The sequence below is a fragment of the Homo sapiens genome, chromosome 10 (genome assembly GCF_000001405.40).
Source record: "Homo sapiens chromosome 10, GRCh38.p14 Primary Assembly".
Lineage (NCBI taxonomy): Eukaryota > Metazoa > Chordata > Mammalia > Primates > Hominidae > Homo > Homo sapiens.
The window spans coordinates 11091744-11105923 of NC_000010.11; the positions used below are offsets into that span (position 1 = coordinate 11091744).

Sequence of the window (14180 nt, forward strand, 5' to 3'; positions counted from 1 at the left end):
AAGGCAAGCAATAAAATTACCATGAATGACTAAACATGAACTTACCACTGTCAAAATCTTCTCCAAGTTAAAAACATGACTCTCAATCAAATACAGAATGAACGATTCTCACAGATATAACTCGTTCATGAGGAAACCAGTAAGACGGTAACGTTGGCTTAAAGTGCATTTGCAGAACCAGGTATTTACAGGCATTTAGAAAAGCAGAATAAAATTTCTCAGTTATATATAATACTGATCAATATCCTAGAACGTAATAAAACCATAACCATTGGGATGATCATTTCAACTAGACATACATCTAGAATTTAATCTGTAACTTCTAATCCAAGGCCAAAGAGCAAAATCAGAGATAGATCCTTCTTCTGAGAGAATGAAATAATCCCCATACAGGCCTCTGAAGGGCCCCAGTATGACAATGGAAGGGCACAGTCTACCACTGCCACCTTACCTTATTCATAGGTGTTACTTATTCTTAACATCACACAGTGTTTGCTTCTCCCCCTCAACTTTTAAACACGTTTTAAGAAATGTAATACAACTTTCAGCTTCCTTTATTAGAATAATGATGGTGATCAAAACACAAACAAGAGGTTGTTGGCGGACACCACTTTATCCTTGATCTCAGGCCTTGGTCCCCTTATTCCAGGCACTGTAGGGGAGAAAACATTTTCACCCATTGCAAGGTTCATAGCTGAGACCCTCATAACAAAAGATTAAGAAAAGAAAAGCAGATAGATTTATTTAACGTTACGTGGGCGCCTTCATAAGGAAATGAAGAGCTGAAGAAACAGGGAGAACTGTGTTTTTAACAGTCATGCAGAAATATGATTGGAGGAAAGAAGGGTATGATCTCATGGTTTTGAACTAAGGAGACTTAACAAGGCTTGTTTGTTCAAATTCTTCTCTGTAGTCCCTGTTTCTTCAGAGATAAGGATGTTCCTCTTCTCTGGGTATAGACAAGGCCAGAAAATTCTTTCCAGGTTTTGTGAATTGCTTCAGGGAAGAAGGTGAGAGTGGCCCTCTTGCCTGTGCTGTTTTCACAAATGCCAAGATGCCACAGTTTGGGATAGCATGGCCTGAACCCCATCAGCATTCTAGACTGCTAAACGAACACTCAGTCCACAGCTGAGTGAATCCATCCAGACATAGGAGACAGATATCTTACTTTATCACCTCTAAATTTGCAGCTCAACTTTTCTTTGCACTTGTCTGTTGGGAGATGCCTTTCCTGGCGTTTCAGATGCTGTCCAGTGCAATTCCGTCCATTCCACTGTGTAATAATAGGAGGCTGTACGTCTTGATTGGCATCAGTCTTAATTTCTTACTCTGTCAGGGACTTAGCATGCTGATAGATGCAAAGTGATGCAGTTACTTGTAATTGTCTCCTCTAGCTTTTTTGCATCTGCTGTTAAGTTGAGTTCTACAGAAGAAGAAGTTCATGCTGCTCTCAATCATTTGTGGGACATTTGGTCTGTTCCCTCTTGAGATGGTGTTTATTGGGCCACAGTTTGGTGTTTGGGAATTAATGTGAAAATTCCAGTGGACTATTCCCAGGATTGGGGCTTAGTCTTGAAAGTCCTAACACCCAACATTATTTTAGCTACACCTCAGGGTATTTCTGTCTTCACAAAGGGTATTGTGAAATTTAAACTAATAAAAATTTTAATTTATTTATGTAAGTCAATCTGTGGCATGCAAACTAGGGATGTGGAGAAGGATGGAAAAGAGGAGGAAGAAGAGTAAGATTACCTAATCAAATCAATAGCCCTATGCATATCCCAGCTCCGTAATTGTAGCAAATCACTACCTTCAAGTCATCAAATTGAGTGTCATAGTGAAACTGTTCCTATATGTCAAGCAAAGCTTTAAACAAACTTGATATACTAATAATCTACAACTATAAAATAGTTCAGCAATTTTGATTCATCAGGGAGCAGTTTTTTTTTACATGCCTTGTCCAGGCCCTTTTTTCAACTGAATCAGCCAGTCAATTCCGTTAACATGGTCCAAATTGTCTATGTAATCTCAGCTTACCACTTATTTCTTAATCTCTGTTTTACAGTTAGAACTCCAGAATGACTGACTAATAAGGTCAACCTGTGATATAATTATGATGGCTTCAGATTGTATCTCTACCACTCAGAAGAAATTAACTCTTCTAAGGTTGAGTCAGTGTTTTCCATCATTGTCATGGACAATTAGTAGCCACTTAACAATTGGTTACAGTTCATTTCTGCTAATGGTATTACAGATGAGATCAGACCAACCACACAACAGTCGATATGAGTTCTCGGAGATTCAATGTCCACATGGTACTGGAAGCCATTCCATTTTTCAGGCCAGTTTATAAAGCCACTTTCTGTGTATTGCAGTGCTGTATTTGCCCTGGTGTTTATGAAACATGTCTTTGTGGCAAATTAACTTGCTGGCGACCTAGCTGCGTAACTGAATTGAATTGCAGAACATTAACTTTACGCTAAGTACACAACAGTGACAAGAACTGTGTGTTATTTTAGAGCCATAAGAATCTGCTGTTTTTCTAAAATGCCATCATTTGTAAGCATGGCGTTGGAAGAAAAGTTTGTCCAAATTAGCCGTGGTTATAGAGGTTCTGGTTACTAGGATATGCAGTCCACTTGTGGGCAAAGAGCTGCATTGTTTTTTTTGAAACTACCTTGTCTGTCTCTTCTTCCTCATTCTTATTATAATGAACTTGGGAATGTTTAGTAAATCAGGTGACTTGAAATGGTTGAATGTTTTCCAACCTTCTCATACTGAAGTGGTCGACAATAAGGCTTCCATAGCAACCAGCTTTTTCCTGACAACAATTTCTTTGGAAGGGGAAAAAAAGCAAAAGGGAAGTGAGAGCTGTGTCTATATGTTAAATACATCGGCTGATTTATTTTTAAAGGTAGAAAAGAGTGTTTTAAGCACTCTGGGAAAAAGACTGCCCATCATGTGTCCATCCATGTTAGAGTGTCCGTCATTTGGTTTCTGAATCTTCACGAGGAAGAATATGTCCCTGACATACAAAATACCTTAGCCATCGAATGAACACATATGAGACTGCTTGGTGTAATCCCCTCAGTAGGGGACATTGACAAGAACTCTAGTGCAAAACCTTGAAGGATACACTGCACTTGTTTTAATTGAATATCATTTTCTACATTAATTAATGTGTCCATTCTAATTTCCCAAAATGGCAAATAATGATGTGTGAAAACAGTATAATTACATTTTTATATTTTTGGTAGAGTAATAACTGGATTCGATTTGCTTTTGATCTTGAAGGTTGTTTATCATTCCTGTCAATCATTCATCCCTTTTAATTATATTTATGTCATTTTTGGTTTTTATTTTTAATGAGGCACCCAGATCAGCACTGGCCTTGATGCGTGGCCCCCGTGATACTTTGCGTAGGGGGTTTACAAAGCGAAGTTTCTTCCTATGATTGTTAACCAGATGCTTTGAGATTCTCTTTTTCTGAGAGAAGCATGCACATGTAACACACATCAGCAGGCTACTAAGCAGAGTTTGTGACTTCATTAGAATGAGCATCCTTGCATTTGGGTGGAAGTAGTGTGGTAGCTGGCGGTTGTGTGCGGCATCATCCCACAATGTGTCATTTGGGTAAATGTGACTGAGGACCGTGGCAGAGTCCCATCCGTGACTGTATGTAGCCGTCTCAGTGCCCCGGCATTCGGCATGTTTTCTGCAGTAGCTCGTGAGTTTACCTGGAGCTAAGATGAAGCTAAGAGATGTTTTTAAATCCACGACCTGCAGGGGGAGGGCAGCTGAGGTTTAACAGGCATATAAGCTTGCATATCTTTTGCCCACATTTTTAACTGTAACAATGAGTTGTCACTGGGAAACAGCATCTCAGCTTGGGAAAAGGCCTGTTGCCTTTCAACTTGAAAGAGGTTGTGGTAGAATTTTTGTTTCGCAACCAGAAAAAGAGAGTGATGGAGGCAGGCACGCAGTGCTCCCCACTAGGAGAAGCTGGCGTTGGCATTCATCATCATGACAGGAGACGCTTCGAAATGAAATTCTCACAAATTATGAGGCCAACACTTAGAATCGGGAAGAAAGTGATGAAACCATTTGTGAAACTCCCTTGTGAAAAAGGATGCATTTATTTTAGCTGATTTTTTAAGGAAAACTATATTTAAAAAAAAAATATCCTTAGAATTTACAGTGTAACATTTTGCCATATGTATTGAACATTATCATGAAAGTATGTCTGGACACCTACCTCGCATCCATAGGTATTAACAGCTCCTTCTACCTCCTCCTGCCTTTGTACTGATACCCGATTTTGCAAAAACAAACAAGTAGCCTCATGTTGACCTGCATTTATTTGAAGCGCATTATGCACCAATGCAGAGGAAATGCATTTACTTCTACCTCTGAACAACTAAAGCTTAAATAATGCATTTCAGCAAGGTAATCTATTAGAAGAGCTCTCTTGAGAAGTGCTATGTTATGAATGGATTCTGCATTTAAAATATCCATTTTGTTGCCTCCCTCCTGCTAATTACTTCTTTCTTTGTCTTACCTCTAATTTGCATTACTTGAGAAGAACAGAGGGAAGGGAGTCCGTCGTTTTCCCCTTCACGAATCCTTACACTTAGTGGCAACTGTAGTGTTGACTTAAGCTCATTTCTGTAGAAGGGAAACTGCATTGCCAAGGAAAAGATAATCGCTAATCACTAAATCTAATTACAAAGAAGAGTAAATCACTAAAAACAAATTAAGTATCTTAAATAAAAATGGAAAATAAAAGCAGTTAAGAATCAAGGAAACTGCTGCAATCTCTCAAGTCTGTTGCACGGAGCTAACTGAGAGCAGCCTGTGTTGGGTTGTATGGCCAGACTGGGCATGGGCAAAGCTTTTCTCCATGGAATCCCTCTTCAAAGAGTTTGACCGAAATGACAAAACCAAACCAAACAAAAACCTTGGCTCAGAAGCAATTCTGAGTATCTTTTGGTTGTAACTTAGGAAGCAACAAGTCACTCTCTCTGTGTAGCCCTGCAGACCTGCTTACTTGTCCTCTATCTACCAGGATGATGGAGGTTACTTTCAAATCACTGTAGCCCGAATTTAAATGAACTGGAAACTAATGAGAATTCTATACTTGACCTTAATCTGACGAGGTCTGACAGAAGCTTCTTTCTAACCCACTCCTCCTCCTCCTTTCCTTCCTTCCTTTCTATATTACTAGTTCCTTATGTCTTTAAATGTATGCCAGTCTAATGGGAGTTAAAAACAATAGGAAACGAAGAGTTTTTATCCCTGATTCAGAAAATGTGGCTGGAGGAGTAGTGCTCTTCCTCACAAAATTCTCCTGATCATGTTTTCCCTGGGCAATTTCCAAATCTTTTTTTAGTTAATGCAATTTAGTGATGTATAGTATTTCCCATAAGTATCCCAACAAAAGTAGAGCTGCCCATCACATTTGTTTTCCTGGTATGTTTGTAGTAAAAAATTAAGATAACATAGGAGAGGTATTTCATTGAACCATTAACGTTAAAAACTTGCCTTTAAAAATATTTATATGTCTTTCCTTTGCGTAGTTATTCATAAAATGTTTCCATTTGCTTTTCAAGCACTTTGTCCAGTCTTCTTAGGTATGAAGAAAAGTCAGAAGATTGAAAAGTAAATTTCTGAGTTGGGAGGATTTAGGAGAAGAGATATGCATGAGAGATGGAAATGCAGTCTGGGAAAATAAAATACCCAATGATAGGACCTTTCGATGCTATCTCTGCCTCGAGCCACTTGGGTTATAATAAGGTTGTGGTCTACCCTGACTCTGGGACCAGGGAATTGAGTGCTCCGGTTCAATAGTGGGTAGCTTGGCACCATCACTAACTATCTTTGACCTTATACTTCTGAAAACCAAGTTTTTGTCTCTATTCTTTGTCACCAAGTGCCCATGTATAGCATATTCTGTTCTTGCCTTTTTGGTTTTAGGATCCTCCTGGGTACCTGAGTTTCTACGGGGTTTTCCTCACACTGTACTCAACCTGGTAGGGACATCCCCAAATGGTGGATGGTGGATCTCTCTGGTCAACCAACCTTTGTCACCATCATCACCCCCGATCAGGGACTTCCCAGATGGGCTGGAGCTGGATCTCTCCTCCAGGTCTGGCCTTCTGGGGTTTAACCCATGCGGCCACTGACCACATGACACCTCATGCATGGAGTCAGGGAGCACTGGATGCCACCCTGCAGGGACTGTGTTCCAGTCAAAGCCACACTAACAGTGAGCACTCACCACAGGCTGTGAGGCCTCATCACTGAACCAGGGCTGTCCCTGGGTACTCACCAGAAAAGCAAATTCAGGATGATGTGAGAAAGAAAGTCACGTGGCTAGTGAAGGTTGAGCATGTTGTGTGTGTGAAGGATGAGGTGTGTTTCGTATGCCCATATTTTGGATTGGATGGACCAAGTGAAGGACAGTCTTAGGACGGGGACAAAGAGTCTGAGGAGTGGGACGTTCTGTGCTGTGAGCAGCGACGGGCACCCAGCAGCCCTCGCCTTGTCTTCCTGCGAAGGTTCAGGAGCCAGTGTGTTCTTTCCTCTGGTTCAGCAGAGAGCAGTAGACCCTGTCTCCAAGCCGTGGCAAGTGTCTAATTCTCCCTCCTGCTTAGCTCCATTTGCCCTTAGGTCAGGCACATTGACGTGAGCTCAAACCCCCATGTACTGCAGAGGGATAACAGTTCTTCAGCCTTGAAAAAGGAATCACAGAGGAAAGGGCAGTTAGGGAAGAAATGAGGGAAAAAATGGATGAGGAAGAGGGCCCAAAAAGAGATAACAGACACTGAAATCATCACATATTCCTTTAGAAAGGCACAGTGAGCACGCTCATTTTTTTTCCATTTTAGACAAATAATGCATGATAAGTATAAATGTGTCATGAGCACACTGTTTTCTCTGTAGAAATAACAAAGGCCCTGGATACAGTAGAATGTCTGGCCTTACTTTTCTGTAAACTGCGGCCACTTTGTCCTTTATCTGTGTGGTTAATTTCTATGAACTGCTGGACAGCTGATTTGACCGAGGCTTCTTGGCTCTGCACCGGGTGATAATTCTACCTGGGCAGCAGGCCACGCGTGAGAGCAGCTTCCCCGAACCTCTCTCATCCCCTCAGTTTGGGCACAGTCCAGCAGGAGAATATTTAAAACTGGGTTTGGTTTAAAATGCAGATAACAGACAGAAATGCAGATAAGCTTTGCCATAAGAAACGCACAGATGACTTCAGATAAAAGTTTCGCCAGAGAATGAATTAGGACCGTCGTCCTGGGGGCCATGAGACAACCCTTTGCCCCACACAGCGTCCCATCTTTCAGGACCAGCAAAATACGTGAATCAGTTGGAAGGAACTATTTGAAAAACCAAGGGATACATGAAATGTGATTTTATGAGGAAACGAATGTACTCTTAGAATACCTACACCTTTTTTTAATACCACTGTGTTGCATGGGCTGTTCTGCTCTTCAGTAAAAATGATTAATAGCCCCCATCCATCACATTGTACAGTGTGGTACATCTGAGAAGCAGAGAGCTTATAACATATACTTGGCAATAAGTCACAAAAACATTCGTATTTTTTAATAACATTTTTGAAGGAGAAAAATCTGTTTTTCAATAAATTCTGGCGTGGTTTCCCTCCAGATTTTATTTCTCATTTAAAATGACCTTGGGGTCGATTCTTTTCTTCTTCTGTTCGTTGGCTCTTTACGAGGTCTTTGCCTTAAACAGATACATTTTAGAGATGGATTAAAAAGGGGACTAGCTCATGAGCATAGAATTCCCGATTTCCTTCTGTTTCCACTTCTGATGAGTTGTGGCAGCATTAACACCAATGTAACTTAATTTTACAGAAATTTTTGTAGTCGGTGCTACTCATAATCAGGTAAAATTATTCTTCAACACATTTCTTTGTTACCGTAATATATTTGGCTTTTCTTTGTGGACTATTTTATTTCTATACATTATTGTGTAAATTGCAGAATCTTTCTCGTAAAGTGGTAGGTTGCCACTATTTTTATTGGTAAAACTCTGAATTTATTATACATTACATAGTTACCCCTATTATTGGAAACTCCTTGTTTCTACATTAAAACAACAACAACAACAAAAAAAAAAAAAAAAAACAGAAAAAACAGCTTAAGCTGGGCGTGGTGGCTCATGCCCATAATCCCAGCACTTTGGGAGGCTCAGATGGGCAGATCACCTGAGGTCAGGCGTTTGAGATCAGCCTAGCCAACATGGCGAAACCCCGTCCCTACTAAAAAATACAAAAAATAGCCGGGCATGGTGGTGGGCTCCTCTGAAATTCCAGTTGCCCAGGAGGCTGAGGCAGAAGAATCACTTGGACCCAGGAGGCAGAGGTTGCAGTGAGCGTAGATGGCGCCACTGCACTCCAGCCTGGGTGACAGAGCGAGACTCTGTCTCAAAATAAATAAATAAATAAAATAAATAAATAAATAAATAAAGTTTATAATTCATAGTCACCCAAGGCCAACAAGTTGATGATGTGGAATGTCAGCTAAGGGTGATGCTAATTGTAGAAAATCCTCTTGGCCCTTTTCCATTCCTAGGAATTCCACATACTTTTTAATTTTTAAATTTTTACTCCAGTAGTTTTTGGGGTACAGGTTGTTTTGGTTACATGGATAAGTCCTTAACATGCGTTATTCATAGGTGAGAGGACACCTTCATTCAGGACCACATGTGAGTTCCTAATAAATATGAATGGAACTCACTTTCATTTCCTAGAGGGTATACCCTCTAGGAAATGAAAAGGGAACTTTCAGAAGTCTGTGAAATTCATTCTTATATTTGAAAAAGATGATACTCAACCCATCTGACACGCTTCATACCAATCCCCACCATTCAAACATTAAGTCCATGAATGAAATAATGTGCAGGGTTTTTCCTATCCACAAAGAGTTCCCGTAGCATTTTATAATGTGAGATGTTTTTAAAGCACAGAACAATGTTTAACATTGCAAGCCCAATGAACAGGTACCTTGGAGATAGGAAAAGCAAAGTAACTCTCTTTCTGTGTTTGTTGTCAAGGGAGGTCTCCCATACCAGCTCTCTGATTTTCTTCTCTTCTGTGAATTGGAAGGTTGCATTCAATGAAACAAAATCCGCATTAGGATGCAGATGGCAGCACGTTGAAACACCAGGCAAAGAGGTGTTTATTCCACTAAACACCTTTGGGGCTGTCTAGTTAGATTTTGAGACTTGACTGTTTCTAAAATGCTTTGTTTCTGAATCCTGTTTCTTTTATGGGTGTTTGAGAGAGATTTAGAAGGGGAAATCAATAGGATATTATGATGGATTGGATATGGAGGGTGAGAGATGATGGTATAAATGATGACTCTTGGATTTCTTACTGGTGTACTTGAATGAATGGTGGTGTTAGAGAGCTAGTTCGCTGAAAGGGATCAGGTTTGGAGGGAATGATCAGCAACTTGAGGCTTCCGATATGTGGGGTGAATTACAATACTTCTGAGACATCCAAATGGAAATACCAAATAGAAAATAGGATGTACAGATCGGTATGTCATAAGAAAGGTCTTGGTTGAACATGTAAATGGTGACTGTATATAGGTGTAATTTCAGCCATGGGTGTGAATGAGATTGCTTAATGATTCCTGAGCTAGGTAGAGGAAGATGAGACTGTGAAGAAGTTAGAGAGGGCTAGCTCTCAAGACATAGAGCACCAGGAGAGTGTTAATGTCAAAGAACCCAAGACATGAGAGGGTTTCAAGGTCAGAGAAATTGACAACCTGGGTAGTATCATAAATGACTTTGTCCACTAATTCAGGTACAGTCAGATATTGGCAACATCATGATCTAAAACTTCTTTGTAGAAAATTAGCTGTGCTTTCCACACAGCAAGGATCCACCCTTAATAACTGGCTGACTGGTAGGTTTTTACCACTGTAGCACAACGGAAACACTTGTAACCTCTGCATACCAAGCATCATTTCTCCCTTGCCTGGAATAATTTTCCTTTAATATCATCCTGTGGGAAATGTATCTAGTTTACTGCTCCATTCTTTGTATCTTATATGGAATTATAATGATCTGTACTTTTGTTGACAATTTCAATAATGACAGGAAAATATCATTATTGTTGAGGTATCCTGGTTTAAAGCAATTTCCTGGGAGAAAGCATCAAACTCCCATAATAAAGTTATAGTCCAAATTGTAAAAATGTGTTTTTAAGGGTGTTTTTTTCTTTCATATAGAAGCATCATGGGCCTTTACTGAACTAATTGTCATGGTAGAGCTCTTGATAAGCCACTGTGGTTGATTAGTATAATAGTGTCCCTGTCAATTTTACTTACCACATTGAAGTTGCATAGTTTCTGAATTTGACATTCTTAGACCAGACTGTAATCCAGTGAATCCATTACCTAAGCAAAAATAAATTCACAGAAGTAGCAATAGCTTTTACTTAAGCCTTCCTTCCAGTCCATGGCAAAAATAGGACTTCAGTGGATTTCAAGATACTTGCCCGACTGTGCTAATTCTAAAGTAATCAATTAAAAGAGAAAGGCATTAGCTGGTTCTTCTTTGTATAAGAAACAAATTTAAACATCTAAGCAATTCTCAGTTCATAAGGTAACTTTACTTTTCCTATATAAACAGTTTCTGCTATAGCTGAAGATAGAACAAATGCATATGCTATTGAATCTTTTAGCAAGTTACATGGCTCTAAAATTGGACTTCTTTTCAGGCATCGCAAGCAGACCATTGTCTGTAGCTTTCATGGAGATGTGTGTGATTTGTCCTTGAAACTCGGGGCCCTGTTCTCCTCCCACTACCAAGTTCAGCCATGCTGGTGGCTTCAGACAGCGTCCTTGGAACTCTTGACTTTTACATCCTTATCTCAAGCCCTGCTTTTTTCTTGAATGCCAGTAATTTTGGATTGGAAATCTCTTCCTAGGCAACCAAATTCAATGTAAAATGGAGCTCATTTCCCCCTTTCTTTCTCCATGGAAGTCTTATAAAACTCAACCAAGCATGCCTTGGAATCATGCCTCACTCCTTTTTCTCTCTCATTCCCCACAGCTCATGAAACCCTCAGCCCTGTCAGTTTTTTCTTTCTCAATTTAAAAATTTTCCTTTCTTTTCATCGTTTATGGACAGACCACTTCTCCCTTGCACAGTTGGAACAACCTCTTCAGCCACCTTCTACCTCTACACAAAAGTTACTGATGTTTCTAAAACCTGAGTCTCATCTTGTTACTCCCTATTCAGAATTCTCCAGTGCCTCTCCTTTGCCTAATGGTTAATGCATCAACTTCTCAGCAAGTCCTAAGGGTGCCTCACAATGCGGCTGCAATCTCCCTTTTCCAACCTCTTGTTGAGTGACTTCTGTACATTCTTCACCCCAGCTAGTCACCCATTTATCAGAATTCGAAAAAAATCCACGCTTTGCCAGAGCCAACCCCACACCATGCTTACATCTTTCAAGATTAAACTTGAAAGAGCTTCTGTTCGTCATTCAAGATTCAACTCAGATGTAATTTTTGCTCCGATGCTTTCTTGTACATTATGGATTTTTTTTTTTTTTGCTTTTTTTATTCCCATAACATTATAGAAGCTTTTATTTTCACTTACATTTTTATTAACATTTTACAAGAGGCTGCATGGCCTAGTGCTCTTTTTAAAAAGCCTAGGCTTCTGAATCGGATAAACCTGTGTTTGTAGCCTGATTTTTTTTTTTTTTTTTTTTACTGTGAACTCTGAAACCAGGTTATTTGACTTCTCTGAACCTCAATGTTCTCATATGCAAAGGGGGGAATTAGAACAGTACCTTTCTCAGAAGGTCGTCATGATTATCTGAGATAAACCACACGCAACTCTCGACACATGAAATTAAACATTGTACCTGGCTCATGTTTGATTTGTTGTTGCAGGGGTGGTATTGGTTATATTTGTCCTTCCCTCAAGATTGAGTTCTGATTACTGGTTCGTAGTAGAAGTCCAGTAAATACTGAATAAATACCTAACAAGTGGGTGAATTCGTATATAGATGTAGTTAGGTAGCCCAAAAGATTAAAGTAGAAACTCTTCTGAGACATGATACTGTTACTGGGATGGGAAGGCTAAAATTATTGCATATTTTAAAATCTGGAAGGGTAGAATTTACTGACTCCTAAATTTACCCTTTCCTGAAATGGGAGAAATGCAGGTAATAATATTTATGGTCAGTTCTGTTTTTATTCAGCAAAGCATGAAAACTATTTATTTAAAGAAATAGACTGACACTACCCTTTTGCTCTTAGTATTTGGTCTCCAGCATTAATCTGATGATCACTGATATTGACTGCTGTTCCTATTAAACCATGTTTAATATACCATAAATCATGTCAAATTGTACAAGTCTATATATTTGGAGGAAGGTAATTTTTAAAGAATGTTAGCCTGATGTATTTATTTGCATTCTGATTTATTTACTTGCATTTTTTATGTCCTAGAATCTATTATAATCCTCTATCAGGTGATCAAACTTTATGAGATTTTAAAAATAATAGTTTCGACTTCCAGCAAATGACATACAAAATACTCTGATGAAATTGACCTTATGAACCTAAGTATTTCCCAGGGTTCCTGGACCCTAAGAAATACCCTTGAGCAAACCACAGTGGCTTACACCTGTGATCCTAACACTTTGGAAGGCCAAGGCAGGAGAATCACATGAGGCCAGGAGCTCAAGACCAGCCTGGGCAATACCTTGTCCCTACAAAAAATACAAAAATTAGCCAGGTGTGTGGTGTGTGCCTATAGACCCAGCTACCAGGGAGGCTGAGGTGGGAGGATGGATTGCGCCCAGGAGGCCGATACTGCCCTAAGACGTGATTGTGCCACTGCACTCCAGTCTAGGTGACAGAATGAGACCTTGTCTCCAAAAAACAAAATAACATACTCTTGAACTAAGAAAAATGTTCACTAAATGCACTAAGGTAAAACATTATTGAAAACAAGATACAATTCATTTTCTAATAATGCTCTTTGGAGTTGATAAGAATAGGAATCATCTGGGAAAACAATGACATGTTCAGAGCCTCAGTATCAACGCTTGTAGGTAGTATGTAGTTTGGCTCCATATAGCATGTGGCAGGCAGAGGTGACCTCTTGAGTGTGAAAACTGAGCTGCAGGGGCAGCTGCCAATTACAGTTGTGTAATCACCTTCTCTGAAGCTGGTCCACTGTCACAGAATGAAGACCCTGGTTCAGCTGCGATGTAGTTTGGCCAAGCATCTTTTTTTCCAACCCTGTGATTTCCTGATGAGCAAAACTGAAACAGTGATTCAAAACATACCGGTTGGGTTATCCGATGGGAAATAAAACTCTAAGTCCAGATTAGACAGTACCTCATGATTTTTCACTAAACGAAAAACAAATATAGTCGTGCTTTTTTACCACCTGCAGTCCTAATTGAAAGTAATGATTCTGGAGCCAGCCTGGCTGGGTTTGAATCTACCTCACTTCCTGGTTGTGTGGCTTTGAATTCATCAGTTTGCTTCCTGTGCTTTAAATTCATCAGTTTGTTTAGTTTCCTCATCCGTAGAATGGAATAATTAAGTTACCTATCCCAAAGTGGTGTTACGGAGACCAAGGGAGGTTTTGTTTGTAAAATCATAGAACAGATCCTGAAGCAGAATAAGACATACCCACTGCTCTTGCTCTTACCCTTCCAGAAGAGTTGGCCATGACTTGATTATCTCCAAGACAACAGTGACTCCTAGATGTGTCTTCAGCCCCTGCCTTTTGTGACATCATTTGCATTTTTTCAATTGCCCACCAGAGGTGGCCACTGGGTTTTCATTTTGGGTTGCGTATACCTAACCTAATTCCTTCTCTGATTCCCCCAGCTCAATGTAAATGTTCTCCTCATCTTGTGTTCTCTTAGCCAGGTCATTCTGCAGCTGTGTGCTCTAGCACCCTGGCTGCTCCTCAGACACCTTCACACATCTCTGCTCTGGGATCCTGTGCTCTTTCCCGCTGCATGTCCACAGAGCTTGCAGGCTCCCCCACCTGATAGAGATTCTGCTCCAGTCTCCACTACTCCCTGGAATACGATACCCCAGTCACACTCCACCTCATACCCTTCTTTAGATTTCTTCATAGCACTTACTATCTGGCAT

General features: G+C 40.0%; 1 protein-coding gene and 1 long non-coding RNA gene across 61 annotated transcripts in view; one reads left to right on the plus strand and one right to left on the minus strand.

Moving 5' to 3' along the window:
• The window catches only part of CELF2-AS2 (CELF2 antisense RNA 2), a 33948-nt gene extending 20203 nt beyond the window's left edge, over nucleotides 1-13745 (minus strand). The window contains exons 1-4 of the long non-coding RNA NR_046108.1: nucleotides 13726-13745; nucleotides 6329-6731; nucleotides 5542-5666; nucleotides 4559-4679 (exon numbers count right to left, since the gene is read on the minus strand). This is a non-coding gene — a long non-coding RNA (CELF2 antisense RNA 2). The remainder of the gene's footprint in view (nucleotides 1-4558; nucleotides 4680-5541; nucleotides 5667-6328; nucleotides 6732-13725) is intronic.
• Nucleotides 1-14180, plus strand: part of CELF2 (CUGBP Elav-like family member 2) — an 874126-nt gene that overhangs the window by 629194 nt on the left and 230752 nt on the right. The gene's annotated exons all lie outside the window — the stretch shown is intronic.